The sequence below is a fragment of the Homo sapiens genome, chromosome 17 (genome assembly GCF_000001405.40).
Source record: "Homo sapiens chromosome 17, GRCh38.p14 Primary Assembly".
NCBI lineage: Eukaryota > Metazoa > Chordata > Mammalia > Primates > Hominidae > Homo > Homo sapiens.
Genome location: NC_000017.11, coordinates 10277518 through 10292093, shown reverse-complemented (window position 1 = coordinate 10292093; position 14576 = coordinate 10277518). Strand labels below are relative to the sequence as shown.

General features: G+C 40.7%; 1 long non-coding RNA gene across 2 annotated transcripts in view, besides 1 other annotated feature; it reads right to left on the bottom strand.

Annotated features, from left to right (window-relative positions):
- Positions 1-275, bottom strand: part of LOC107985004 (uncharacterized) — a 49640-nt gene extending 49365 nt beyond the window's left edge. For both annotated transcript variants that reach the window (XR_007065617.1, XR_001752791.3), the window contains exon 1: positions 181-275. This is a non-coding gene — a long non-coding RNA (uncharacterized LOC107985004). The remainder of the gene's footprint in view (positions 1-180) is intronic.
- Positions 228-522: an enhancer, noted in NCBI's record as "tiled region #11916; HepG2 Activating non-DNase unmatched - State 24:Quies, and K562 Activating DNase matched - State 3:PromF". NCBI's record gives its function as "activates a minimal TATA promoter and a strong SV40 promoter by Sharpr-MPRA in HepG2 and K562 cells {active_cell/tissue: HepG2 | K562}" and the evidence as "EXISTENCE:reporter gene assay evidence [ECO:0000049][PMID:27701403]".

The window sequence follows — 14576 nt, the reverse complement described above, 5'->3', positions numbered from 1 at the left end:
CGCCCACAGCAGGTTGGCGGCTCCTGCTGAAGCTAGCAGACAACTCATACTTTCAACCAGGAGCTGACAGAGGACCTATGATGTGCCAGGAGCTGTGTATTAAGTCTGTTTGCATGCTGCTGATAAAGACATACCCGAGAGTGGGCAATTTACAAAAGAAAGGGGCTTAATTGGACTTACAGTTCCACGTGGCTGAGGAAGCCTCACAATCATGGTGGAAGGCAAGGAGGAGCAAGTCCCATCTTACATGGACGGCAGCAGGCGAAGAGAGAAAGAAGACGCAAAAGCGGAAACCCCTGATAAAAGCGTCAGATCTCGTGAGACTTATTCACCACCACGAGAACAGTATGGGGGAAACCTGCCCCCGTGATCCAATTCTCTCCCACCGGGTCCCTCCCACAACACGTGGGAATTATGGGAGTACAATTCAAGATGAAATTTGGGTGAGGACACAGAGCCAAACTATATCAAGCTGTTCCAATCACAGAGAGCACCATAGTGAAATAAATAACAAGAATTTGAAGTGCCTTCCTCTGAAAGATATCCCAAATTCATCTCGTCCATCAACTGCCCCCCTCGACTGGTTCGATTCTGATCTGCCTCACTTGCTCTCTCCCTTCCCTAGGAAATGCTTCCTTTCTGAGCCCTTTGCTGATTGTAATCATTCTCTTCTCAGATTATCTTGGCATTGTCATTATCATCTTAATATCTTCTAGTAGACAAGGCAATCCTTACATGGCTACCAGAAAGGATAAAGGTTAACAACAACTTTGTTATAATAAAAAAAAACTGCAAATAACCTAAAATGCTTAGAAACAGATGACTGCCTGAATATACTAGTAATAATTATAATTAGAGCAGCTAAAGTTAATTGGGTGCTTATAAGGGGCTAGGTGCTATTTTAGGAGTTTTTGCATGCCTCAGCTTATTTAATTCTCACAAAAACTCTATGCTGTGGGTTCTTATTTTATCCTCATTTTACAGGTTGTGCTCAGAGATGTTAAGAATTTGCCCAGCGTCGCGCAGCTAGTAAGTGATGGGGCCTGAGTTTACAACCACCATGCTACTCTAGGATTACTTGGAGGGTTATGTACATGTTAAAGGGCAAAAGCACATCCAACGTTTGGCTGCCTTGAGATGTATATATTAACGCATGCTAAAAGAAGTTAAATGAAAGAAGTCTACATTAATATACTCACACTAATCATAACCATGTGAAATGTATGGACATGTCAGAAAAGCCAACATTCAGGGGAACAAAATGGAAGTTCTAATCTACTTAAGTCTTCATTTCTCTGTAAAGCTGTGTATAATTTTTTTAAGTTATCTACCTATGAGTTTTATGCCCTCTGGGCTAGGCAAATTATTCACTAATTTGACAGATGAATCCTTGCTGAGATGTTAACGAGTGAGACTGGCTCAATCCCTTCACGCCTTCCCAGAAAAGACATTTTATAAGAACTTCTGAAAACAAAGCCTTGGCTCAAGACTGGCTTTCGGGGAGTGAGCTTGGCTCTGGGCAGTCCTGAGAGATAAAGAAGAAACATTGGGTTAGTGAAGATGGGGCATCCTTGTGAAGGGTCTTGGCCTCGTCAGAAGCCCCTCTCCAGAGCAAACAAGCAACCCCTCTCACCTCTCTATGCTATCCTCCCTTCCCTTAAGTTCCCCAGGATGCTTTAAGGAGTGAGTGGAGGAAGGAAAGCCCAGGTTACTAGAGTCAAATTGAGGTGACTCTAGATGGGGCAGGCAGGGGTCCTCTGAGAGATCAGTGAGAGCAGGAGGCACACCAGGGCAAGAGTCCAGGTTAGGCAGATGCACATTCCACTGTCCAGCTCTGGGGTAATTTCCTTCCTCCAGCTGCAAGAGCTTCCCAGAAGCCTGAGCCATCTGAAAATCCCCCAAGGGCTGGAGCCAGCCCAGGAAACACTGAACAAAACAGCTACAAATGCTGGTGGCGAGGGGTAGGGGGAAGAATGAGAAAAAAGAAGAGGAGAACTGGCTTTGGGGCAGTGAAAAGATAGCATCTATGGGGCCAGCATGTATGGTGTGGGGAGCAGATCTGGAAATATTGCGGATGTGGAAGAGTTGAGAGAACTGGTCATATTTAGCCTAGAGAAGAAGCTTGGAGAATGGGAGGATGATGATTAGCTTCAAATATTAGGTAGACACTCATGAGAAAAGATATCAGATGTATTCTGCACTGCTCTAGTCTAGAGCTTGCTATTCTAAGTGTGGTCCATGGACTAGCAGCATCAATATCCCGTGGGCACTTAGAAATACAAAATTTTAGGTCCCTCCCAGATGTAGTGAACTCATCCTTCACAGGATCCCCAGGTGACTTGTGCCCACATTAAGTTTGAGAAGTGCAGATCTGGAGCACCGCCACTCAAGTCATGGTCCGGGGACAAGTGCTCATCTCCTGAACTGTTTGTTAATGATCTTCCATGGGGTAAGTATAGAAATTGAGAGCGTTTGGATGCTTTTTCTTTTTTTCTTTTCTTTTCTTTTTTTTTTTTTTTTGAGATGGAGTTTCACTGTTGTTGCCCAGGCTGAAGTGCAATGGTGCAATCTCAGCTTACTGTAACCTCCTCCTCCTGGGTTCAGGCAATTCTCCTGCCTCAGCCTCCAGAATAGCTGGGATTACAGGCATGTGCCACCATGCCTGGCTTATTTTTTGTATTTTTAGTAGAGACAGGGTTTCACCATGTTGGTCAGGCTGGTCTCGAACTCCTGACCTCAGGTGATCCGCTCGCCTCGGCCTCCCAAAGTGCTGGGATTATGGCGTGAGCCACCGCACCTGGCCATTTGGACACTTTTAAAGCAATTTAATGCTGTGGTGACATCCAAGTTCATGGTCAGCAGACACATCCCATTGAACAGAATGTATTTTCAGTGTTGCAGAACTGGTTGTACCTGGAAGGTCCACATGGATGGAGGTGGGAGGATCCTTTACCACAGAGAGTTTGAGAAGCTGTGTACAAAACAGTGGTTCCCAAACTTCATCAAGTCTCCGAATCACCAGGAGGGCTTATTAAAATGCAGACTGCCGACCCCATCCCCAAAGTTTCTGATTCACTAGTTCTGGGGTGGGGCCTGTGAATCTGCATTGCTAACAAGCTCCCAGGGGTGCTGATGCTGGTGGTACTATAACCACACAGTGAGAACTACTGATCTAGATTAAAAGACAGGTCCAGAGCAGTAGATAAGAGTTATAGGACCCAGACTCTAGCTCAATATGAAGAATATTCTAAGAGTATTAAACTAACCCCAAAGCTAGCAGAAGCAAAGAAATAACTAAAATCAGAGCAGAACTAAATGAAATTGAGACCCAAAAATCCATACAAAGGGTCAACAAAACCAAAACTTTGTTTTTCAAAAGGATAAACAAGAGTGATAGACAACTAGGTAGATTAAAAAAGAAAAAAGAGAGAAGATCCAAATAAGCACAATCAGAAATGACAGAGATGACATTACAACTGATCCCACAGAAATACAAAAGATCCTCAGAGGATACAAAGGCATAAGAATGATTTAATGAACTTTGGGGACTCAGGGGGAAAGGCGGAGGGTGGTGAGGGATTAAAGACTATACACTGGGTACAGTATGCACTGCTCAGGTGACAGGTGCACCAAAATCTCAGAAATTACCACTAAAGAACTTATCCATGTAACAAAAAAACTATCTGTTCCCCAAAACTATTGAAATAAAAAATATCCTGTTTTTCCCCCAAGAACTATTGAAATAAAAAATAAAATCTTGAGACTGTAATGAACACCTCTATGCATATAAACTAGAAAATCTAGAGGAAATGGATAAATTCCTAGAAACACACAACCTCCCAGGATTGAATTAGGAAGAAATTGAAACCCTGAACAGACTAATATCGAGTTCTGAAATTGAATCAGTAATTTAAAAACCTACCAACAAAAAAAGCCCTGGACCAGATGGATTCACAGCTGAATTCTACCATACTTACAAAGAAGAGCTGGTACTAATTCTACTGAAACTATTCCAAAAAATTGAGGAGGAGGGACTCCTCCCTAACTCATTCTATGAAGCCAGCATCACCCTGATATCAAAATCTGGCAAAGACACAATGAGAAAAGACACCTACAGGCCAATATCCCTGATGAACATAAGCACAAAAATCCTCAACAAAGTATTAGCAGATTGAATCCAGCAGTACATCAAAAAGTAAATTCACCGCAATCAAGCAGGCTTTATTCCTGGGACGTGAGATTGGTCCAATATACACAAATCAATGAATGTGATTCATCATATAAATAGTTAAAAATAAAAATGATATGATTATCTCAATAGATGCAGGAAAAGTTTTTGATAAAATCCAACATCCCTTTATAATAAGAACCCTCAACAAACTAGGCACGAAAGGAACATACCTCAAAATAATAAGAGCCTTCTATGACAAACCCACAGCCAACTTCATACTCAATGGGCAAAAGCTGGAAGAATTTCCCTTAAGAACAAGAACAAGGCAAGAATGCCCAGTCTCACTACTCCTATTCAATGTAGTTGGAAGTCCTAGCCAGAGCAATCAGCCAAGAGAAAGAAATAAAAGGCATCTACATAGGAAAAGGAAAAGTCACATTATCTCCCTTAGCTGACAATATGATACTATACCTAGAAAACCCTAAAGACTCCAGCAAGGCAGGGCGCGGTGGCTCACACCTATAATCCCAGCACTTTGAGAGGCTGAGGTGGGAGGTTTACTTGAGGTCAGGAGTTTGAGACTAGCCTGGCCAACGTGGCAAAACCTTGTCTTACTAAAAATACAGAGCAGTTTGGAGATTTATCAAAGAACTTAGAACTACCATTCAGCCCAGCAATCTCATTACTAGATATACACCCAAAGGAAAATAAGTTGTTCTACCAAAAAGACACATGCATTTGTATGTTCACTGCAGCCCTATTCACAATAGCAAAGACATGGAATCAACCTACGTGCCCATCTATGGTGGATTGGATAAAGAAAATGTGGTACATATACACTATGGAATACTACTCAGCCATAAAAAAAGGCTCAAAGATTCAATGCAGAAGCAGACTTGAGAATCAGCTATCTTCTGGTAAGCCAGAAATTTTAAAGATTTGCAAAAATGTAAGACAATACTACTTTCAACTCACTATTTTTTGTTTTGTTTTGGGAAATAGTCATTTTCATAAAAATAGATTATATTAAGGTAATGCATTAATTATTGCTATCTTAAATGAATTAGTAATGTTTGTAATTTCTCAGTTTTATTGTCTAGTATGGTAAATTTCAACAGATAGGACCCAAATAAATGAAAATTCTTTGGAGTCTTCAGTAATTTTTAAGAGTGTAAAGGGGTCCAGAGACCAAACTTTGGGAAACCTTTTAGCTAAATCTTGAAGAAGTCTATTGTGGCCAGGAGTTATCTCCTTCTACTCCTCTCTCAGCATAGCCTCAACCTGTCCCCAGTGAAGTAAACATGCCCAGGGTTCAGTGGAGGAAAAGGGAAAAGGAAACCTCCCACTTCCTTTCCTGGAATGTGCCCTGGACAGCTCCCCTAGAATGCCAGGGGAAGTGTCACATCCTGTTCTCCCGAACAAATGACTGTAGAGGTCTCCCCATCACTGAAGGTGCTGAGCATGTCTGAGCCAGTAGGGAGAAAAGAGGGATGGAGGGAGACTCCTAGAACTACAGAACAAGGAGAACTCCTTACACACCCACACTACTATGCTGATCCTGCTCCCAGCCAATATGTCCACTAATAGCTTTGGAGGGAATGTGAATTTAGCTGCTGTCCTGGTTTTAGGGGCCCTGTACCTTCGCTTTCTATAATCCCCTGTCTTCTTCCTCCCCTGAAAAAAACAAGCACGTGGGGGCATCCCCCCATCGCATATCCTGCAAGCTTACAAAAACTAGTTATCCACCAGGCTTAAGGGAAGACTGGTATAAATGATCTGCGGTTTCCCATTGCTTCCAGCATTACAGAGCCCAGCGCGGAGAAGCTGTCATCTGTGCTCTATTCATTACTGTAAATGACTAGTGTAATACATGAGGAGATGCTTCGCGGCACTGGAAAAAAACAGTGCAGTGAAGATGGTTGTGAAACACTCATGTCAGGATTGCTATATTTCTTTTTTTTAATTTAATTTTATTTTATTTATGTATTTATTTTTGAGACAAAGTTTCACTCTTGTTGCCCAGGCTGGAGTGCAATGGTGCGATCTCGGTTCACCAAAACCTCCGCCTCCCAAGTTCAAGCGATTCTCCTGCCTCAGCCTCCTAAGTAGCTGGGATTACAGGCATGCGCCACCACACCCGGCTAATTTTGTATTTTTAGTAGAGACGGGGTTTCTCCATGTTGGTCAGGTTGGTCTCGAACTCCCGACCTCAGGTGATCTGCCCGCCTCGGCCTCCGAAAGTGCTGGGATTACAGGCATGAGCCACGGTGCCTGGCCGGGATTGCTATATTTCTTGGCTTTAAACACTGATGAGAGTGAAATGTTTAAGGAAGAAATAATTCCAGTTTTACCCAGACTCTTCCAGAGGAGGAATGCGGACAAGAAAGTCATGCCCCAGCTTATTTTATGAGGCCAGTATTATCTTGATATCAAAGCAAAAATTATAGGTCAATTTCACATAAGAACATCGATGCAACAAATCCTAAAAAACATATTAACAAACTGAGTTCAGCAATATATAAAAAAAATAATATAACCTGATATAAGGTTGGATTTATTCCAGGATTTTAAATTTAATTTAACATTAGAGAATCTATTCGAGTTAATACACTACATAAACAGATAAAAGCAGAAATTCATGTGATCATTTCAATAGATGCAGAAAATATATATTTGATAAAATTCATAGCCATTGATGATTTTTAAAAATGCTTTCTCTTAAACTGGGAATAAAAGGGAACTTCCATGATGTGAGAAAGAGTCTCTAGAAAAGTCTTACAAAAACATCATATTAAGGAAATGTTGAAAGCTTTTCCTTTGAGATCAGGAATAAGATATGAATGCCAACCATCATTATTTCTATTCATCAAGGTACTAGAAGTCCTACCTAATACAATACAGCAGGAAAAAGACACTTAAAATACAAAGACTGGGAAGGAAAGAACAAAATTATTATTTGCCGATTGTATACAAAGAAATTTCCAAAGAATCAATATATAAAATATTAGAATTAATAACAGGGTTCCGCAAGGTAGCTGTTTTCAAAAATCAAAGTACACTAAATGCAATGAGGTATACTGAATTGGCTCTTGGAAGAGAAAAAAAGACTAGTGGAAAAACTGGTGAAATCCAAATACAGCCTGGAATTTACCTGTTAGTAATGTACTGATGTCGACCTGTTACTTTTTGACTAATGTACTGTGGTTACATAAGATGTTAGCATTAGGGAAGGCTGTGTTTGGGGTATACAGGAACTCCCTGTACCATATTTGCAATTTTTCCATAAATCTAAAATTATTCCCAAGTAAAAGGTTTATTTATAATTTTTGTTGGTTTAAAATTTTCTTTTTTTGGAGACAGGATCTTGCTCTGTCACCTGGGCTGGAGTGCAGTGGCATGACCACAGCCCACAGCTGCTTCGACCTCCTGGGCTCAAGCAATCCTCTCACATCAGCCACCCAAGTAGCTGGGACTACATGCACACACAACCAAGCCTAGCTAGCTAATTTTTTTGTTTGCTTGTTTGTCTGTAGAGACAGGGCTCTCACTATGTTGCCCAGGCTGATCTCAAACTCCTGGCCGCATATGATCCTCCTACCTTGGCCTCCCAAAGTGCTGAGATTACAGATATGAGCTACCACGCCTGGCTATAAAATTTTTTTGACTTAAAATACAAAAGTAAATTGTACTTGTATATACAAGCATCAGATAATTTCAAAGGTTGAAAATTATTTTTTAAAACTATGCTGTTTCTAATTAAATAAAATGAATCAGGTTCTTAAAAGTAAATCAAACAAAGCATGTATAAGACCTCTATGAGAAAAATCATAAAACACTCTCATTAAGAGTGTTCTGAGGTGAGCAGGTCTATGCAAACCCACACCCAAAGGCCAAGGGAGCTGAGAAGCAAAACAAAGAGCCTGACCAATCCAGTTTCTCAGGAAGAAATATTTAATGGGGACTTATGAACAGAAGTGATGTCTCTGGTGGCCATGACACAGTGGATCCCCATACCCACCCTTCAGAAAATATCTTTTCTATAGCAAGTTTCTATGGTAAAACAGGTGCAGCTGGTCATATCTCAGACTTTCTTATTGCAACTCATGACCACTGGAAAGGTTAGGTGACCATCTTTATGATGGGTTGTCTGTGCTACAGGTATTGTTTTAAGACCTGGCTGCAAACCACCTTGGTATGCAGGAATTAAACATTGGTCATCATTGCAGTTTAGCTTCAAGATGCCTCTTGCCATACAAGAGGCTTTTTTCCTACACAGAACTATTTGATTAAAAGACCTAAAGGTATACCACATTCATCAATTAGAAGACTCAATAGTATAAAGGTATCAATTCCTCCCAAAATGATTTATTCAGTGCAATCCAAATAAAAAGTCTCTACAGAGTTTTCTTTCTTCCCTCCTTTCCCTCTCTGTATACATCTCTCACTCTGTCTCTCTCTATCTCTGCCTTTCTCTGTCTCTATCTCTGCCTTTCTCTGTCTGTCTCTCTCTTTCTTTTTCATTGACAGAGCTTAACAAGATAATTCCAGATTTTATAAGGAAATGTAAAAGATCAAGAATAGCTAAGACACTATTGGCAAGGTGCAGTGGCTCATGCCTGTAATCCCAACACTTTGGGAGGCCGAGGCCGATGTAATGCTTAAGTCCAGGAGTTCAAAACCACCCTGGGCAACATGGCGAAACCCCATCTCTACTAAAAATACAAAAAATTAGCCAGGCATGGTGGTGGATGCCTGTAATCCCAGCTACTTGCTGAGGCACGAGAATTGCTTGAACCAGGGAGGCTGAGGTTGCAGGGAGCCGAGATTGCACCACTGCACTCCAGCCTGAATAACAGAAGGAAACTCTATCTCAAAAAAAACAGCAAGAAAAAAAAACAGCTAAGACACTCTTAAAGAAGAACAAGGCAGAAATGTTTGCTCTACAAAAAGACTCATGGGGCACTGAGAAGAACATCTCTTTTAAGATAAAGCAGCTGGATTTCAACAAATAGTATGCCACAGTAAATAGTGAATATTTGTTGAGAGTGCTTGTTACGTGCCAGGTACTGCTCTAAATATTCTTGTACACTCATTCCATTCCTCACAACATTCCAAAGAGATAGACAGCATTCTTACTCCACTAACAATATGGGAAAACTGAAGTATAGAGTTTAATTGACATGCCCAAAGAGCTATTGACAGACCCGGAATTTGAACCTAGATTGTCAGAGTCCCACATTTAGTCATAATGATATAGTTTAGAACACGGATGAACTTATTGGTAAGGTGAGACTTAATAGTTTTTTATTTGTTTATTTATGTAAAAGAAAGAGAAATGTAATTAGAAACTAAAATCAGAACCAGAACATTTCTATTCAAGTATGAAGCAAACTAAAATATGACATGATTTTGATGGAGTGTAAAGAAAGAGTGTCCATTTGACTTTGACACTTGGGAATTTTCCATCAAATGGAACAGAGTTAGTGAGATAGGATTACATTTCCTCTTGTTATGGGTTGAATTGTGTCCCTCAGAAAGGATAAGTTGGAGTCCTCATCCTCAGGACCTCAGAATATGACCTTATTTAGAGATAGACTCTTCACAGAGGTAATTAAGTTAACATTAAGTTAATTAGGGTCATTGGGGTGGTCCCTAATCCAATAGGACTAGTGTCCTAATAAAAAGGGGAAATTTGGACACAGACATGCACATAGGGAGAATGCCATGTGAAGATTGCATTTATGCTGCCAAAAGCCAGAAGCTAGGAGAGAGGTCTGGAATTGATCCTCCCCTAGTCCTTGCCCTAGAGAAGGATGACTCTGTCAGCATCTTGATCTTGGGCTTCTGGCCTGCAGAACTGTGGAATAATTTATTTCTCTTGTTTAAGTCACTCAGCTTGTGGTACTTCATTAGGACCACACTAACAAACAAATATACCTCTCTACAGTTCTGATTACACTGCTTGGCTCAACAATGAAAAATAGTTAATGTCTTTTGTTGGTCTTCACTTTTTAGAGTCAATCTGTAGACAAGGCACAGAAAACTTAATTTGATTCATATGGACTCTTGAGGGACATCGAATAGCTGAAACAATTTTGAAAAGAACAGAGTTGGAGGTCTCATACTTCCTGATTTCAAAACTTACTACAAAGCTACAGTAATCAAAATAGTATGGTATTAGCATAAAGACAGACATATAGACCAATGGACTAGAATAGAGAGCCCAGAAATAAACCCTCACATATATGTCAATAATTTTCAATAAGGGTACTGAGATGGTTTGGCTCTGTGTCTCCATCCAAATCTCATCTCGAATTGTAATCTCCATAATCCCCACATGTCAAAGGAGGGACCTGGTGGGAGGTGACTGGATCATGGAGGCGGTTTCCCCCATCCTGTTCTCGTGATAGTGAGCAGTGAGTGAGTTTTCTAAGTGTTTGGCTGTTCCTCCTTCACACACTCTCTCTCGCCTGCAACCATCTAAGACGTGCCTCCCCTCCCACCATGACTGAAAGTTTTTTGAGGCCTCCCCAGCCATGTGTAACAGTGAGTCAATTAAACATCTTTTCTTTATAAACTCTCTAGTCTCAGGTATTCTTTATAGCAGTGTGAAAATGGACTAATACAGGTACCAAACTATTTAATGGGGAAAGGGTGGTTTTTTCAACTAATAGTGCTGAGTAAACTGGTTAATTCACATGCAAAAGAATGAAATCGCATTTTTGCCATATACCATATACAAAATTAACTCAAAATGGATCAAAGATCCAAAATTATAAAACTCTTAGAACACATAGGGAAAAAGCTTTATGATATTGAATTTGGCAATAATTTCTTGGATAAGGTACCAAAGGCCCAGCCAATAAAAGTAAAAATAAACTGGACTACATAAAAATAAAAACTTTTGTACATCTCACAACACAATCAACAGAGTGAAAAGGCAACCTACAGAATGGGAGAAAATATTTGCAAATCATATAATTGGTAAGGGGTTAACATCCAGAATATATAAAGAACTCCTACAACTCATTAACAATAAAACAAATAACCTGATTTTTAAATGGGCAAAGGACTTGAGTAGACATTTCACCAAAGAAGATATGCAAATGGCCAACAAGCACAGTAGTTTTGATTTGCATTTCCCTAATGATGAAAAGATGCCAACATCCCTCATCATTAGGAAAATGCAAATCAAAACTACAATGATATATCAGCTTACACTCATCAGATGGCAACTATCAAAATAAAATAAGAAACTAACAAAAGTGGGCAAGGATGTGGGAAAATTGGAACCTTTGTGCACTGTTGGTGAAAATGTAAAACAATGTAGTTTCTATGGAAAGCAGTATAATGGTTCCTCAAAAAATTAAAAATAGAATTGCCATGATCCAGCAATTCTGCTTCTGGGTATATGCACAAAAGGATTGAATGCAGAGTCTCAAAGTGATAGATGTACAGTCACATTCATAGCAGCATTTTTCACAATAGCCAAGAGGTGAAAGCAATTCAATGTCTATGGAGGAATAAATGCATGAGCAAAATATGGTATATCTACACAACAAAATATTCTTCAGCCTAAAAAGAAATGAAATTCTGCAATATGCTACAACATGGATGAACCTTGAGGGCATTATGCTAAGTGAAATAAGCCAGCCACACAGACATGCAAAACTGTATGATTCCACTTATATGAGTTACTTAGAGTAGTCAAAATCATACTGACAAAAAGAATAGTGGTTGCCAGGGACTTGGAGAATGAAATGGAGTGTTGTGGGGGTTTTTGTATTTTTCGTTTGTTTGTTTTTTGAGACATGGTCTCACTTTGTCACCCAGGCTGGAGTGCAGTGATGCAATCATAGCTCACTACAGCCTTGACCTCTTGGGTCAAGTGATCCTCCTACCTTAGCCTCCTGAGTAGCTGGGACTACAGGCATGCACCACTATACCTGGCTAATTTTTTTTTTTTTGAGATGCGGGGTCTCCCTGTGTTGCCCAGACTGGTCTTGAACTTCTGGGCTCAGAAATTAGCCAGGCATAGAGGTGCATGCCTGTGGTCCCAGCTACTTGGGAGGCTGAGATAGGAGGATCACTTGAGCTCGGGAGGTCGAGATTATAGTAAGCTGTGATCCCACTATTGCACTCCAGCCTCCCATCTCAGCCTCCCAAAGTGCTTGGATTACAGGCGTGAGTCACTGGACCTGGCCTGAATTGTTTAATGGTTACAAGGTTTCTGTTTTACAAGAGTTCTGGAGCTGAATGGTGGTGATGGCTGTACAACAATGTGAAAACTTAACACTGAACTGTACATTTAAAAAAATGTTAAGATGGACGGGCGTGGTGGCTCATGCCTGTTATCCCAGAACTTTAGGAAACCGAAGCAGGTCGTCGCTTGAGGTCAGGAGTTCGAGAACAGCCCGGCCAACATGGTGAAACCCTGCCTTAACTAAAAATACAAAAATTAGCTGGGCATGGTGGCAGGCACTTGAAATCTCAGCTATTCAGGAGGCTGAGGCAGAAGAATCACTTGAACCCGGGAGGTGGAGGTTGCAGTGAGCCGAGATCGCACCATTGCATTCCAGCCTGGGTGACAGAGCAAGACCCCATCTCAAAAAAAAAAAAAAAAAAAAAAAAGGTTAAGACAGGAAATTCAGCACATTTTATGTTATGTATATTTTATCACTGTTTTTTTAAAATCACAGTTTCAGTTACAGAACAGACTATAAATATTATAAACTCTGACAGGCTAAAACTGAGCATCCAGTGGACAGATGTCAGGAGTTAAGGTGGAGGGGGCAGAAGAGAGGCGAAAGATGAGTGACAGCACTGATCTTCTCATCCTCCAGAAGGGAAAGTTCATTGATACCATCTAAAGTTGGATAACACACGCAGCAGAGGGTAAGTGTATTATTTAGAGTGGTAAAGCTAGCTACAAGTGGGGCTAAAAACAATCACGTAATTGAAAAGAAAAAAAAAAAAAGCGAGTGCAAGCCAGATTTCTTCCCGAGCAAATTCCAAAGTCAATTTTATACCATGTAAAGTTGATATCCCCAGAAGAAGAAGCAATAAATATATGAAGGGAATTACATTGGTAAAAGAAATTCCAAAATACATTAACAGCTATTCCATGGTGGCAGAATAGTGTCAGTTTCGAGGTGGGATCAAGCTTCGACGAGATGCAGTGCCTGTTCCTGCCTCATTGGCACCCCGTGTACCCAAACCGTATCTCAGTAATTCCCGCTTTCCCGTCCACCAACTCCATTTCCAGAACTTTCATTATTTGAAATAACCCATCATCCATCGCCAGAACTCTTTTCATCATGTAAAACTGAAACTATAACCATTAAACAACTCAGGCTGGGTCTTCAAGACCTGCCAAATTATTACCTTTTTGGAGAAGTCCCTTCAAGACTCCCTCCTGCTCCTTTGTCAACCTCAGTCCTGTATTCCTCAATCCTAGAACTTGCCTTACTCTGGTAGCTAAGTGTATTCTTCACCGGCTAAAAGCTATCCTTGATAGCTAAGGCTGCGTGCCTCCTGGTGTGAGGGGCGTGGCTTCAGCCTCACAGTCTTCTATGACTTAGGAATAAGCACCATGTCAGGGAGTTGTAGAAGTGTGAAGTGTCCAGTTTTACAGGAAGACAGTTTGAAGATAACAGATCCACAATGGCTGAAGAGCTCTTTGTGTGGTTGGATTACAGATTAATCTTTTCTATATTATTCTCATTATTTTTTCAAATTTCCTACAGTGATTTTTTTGTATTACTTCATTTAAAAAAGTTACGCTCCCTCCAAAACAAACAAACAAAAAAACACACAAAAATTTAGTATAGCCCCTGGCACAGAATGGCCTCAACAAATGCTAATTCAATCTTCTTACCCCTCCATACAGGTGGGGGTTTCTTTGTTTGTTTTTGTTTGCTTTTGTTTTTTTTTTTACTCTTTGGGGTCAGGGACACCTTTGTCAACCCCATGAAAGCTGTAGACACCTTCCCCATAAGCAGTTGTGCACACAAGCAAACACATACACACAAAACGTTTTTCATGTGATTATTTTAGGGTAAAATAAATAAATGAGTGAATGAATTAATTAACAAATGAATAAATGAAGTGGTCTACAAAGCCACAGAAATAGCATTCCGTCAGACTCCCCCAGCATAACCTTAGGTAGCAGAAGTCAAGGCCAGCTAGGTGCCGTTTCCAAGTACTTTGGGAGGCTGAGGCAGGAGGATCACTTGCGTCCAGGAGTTTGAGACCAGCCTGCACAACATAGCGAGACCCCCATGTCTTTTTTTTTTTTTTTTTTTTTTTTTTGAGACGGAGTCTCGCTCTGTCGCCCAGGCTGGAGTGCAGTGGCGCGATCTCGGCTCACTGCAAGCTCCGCCTCCCGGGTTCACGCCATTCTCCT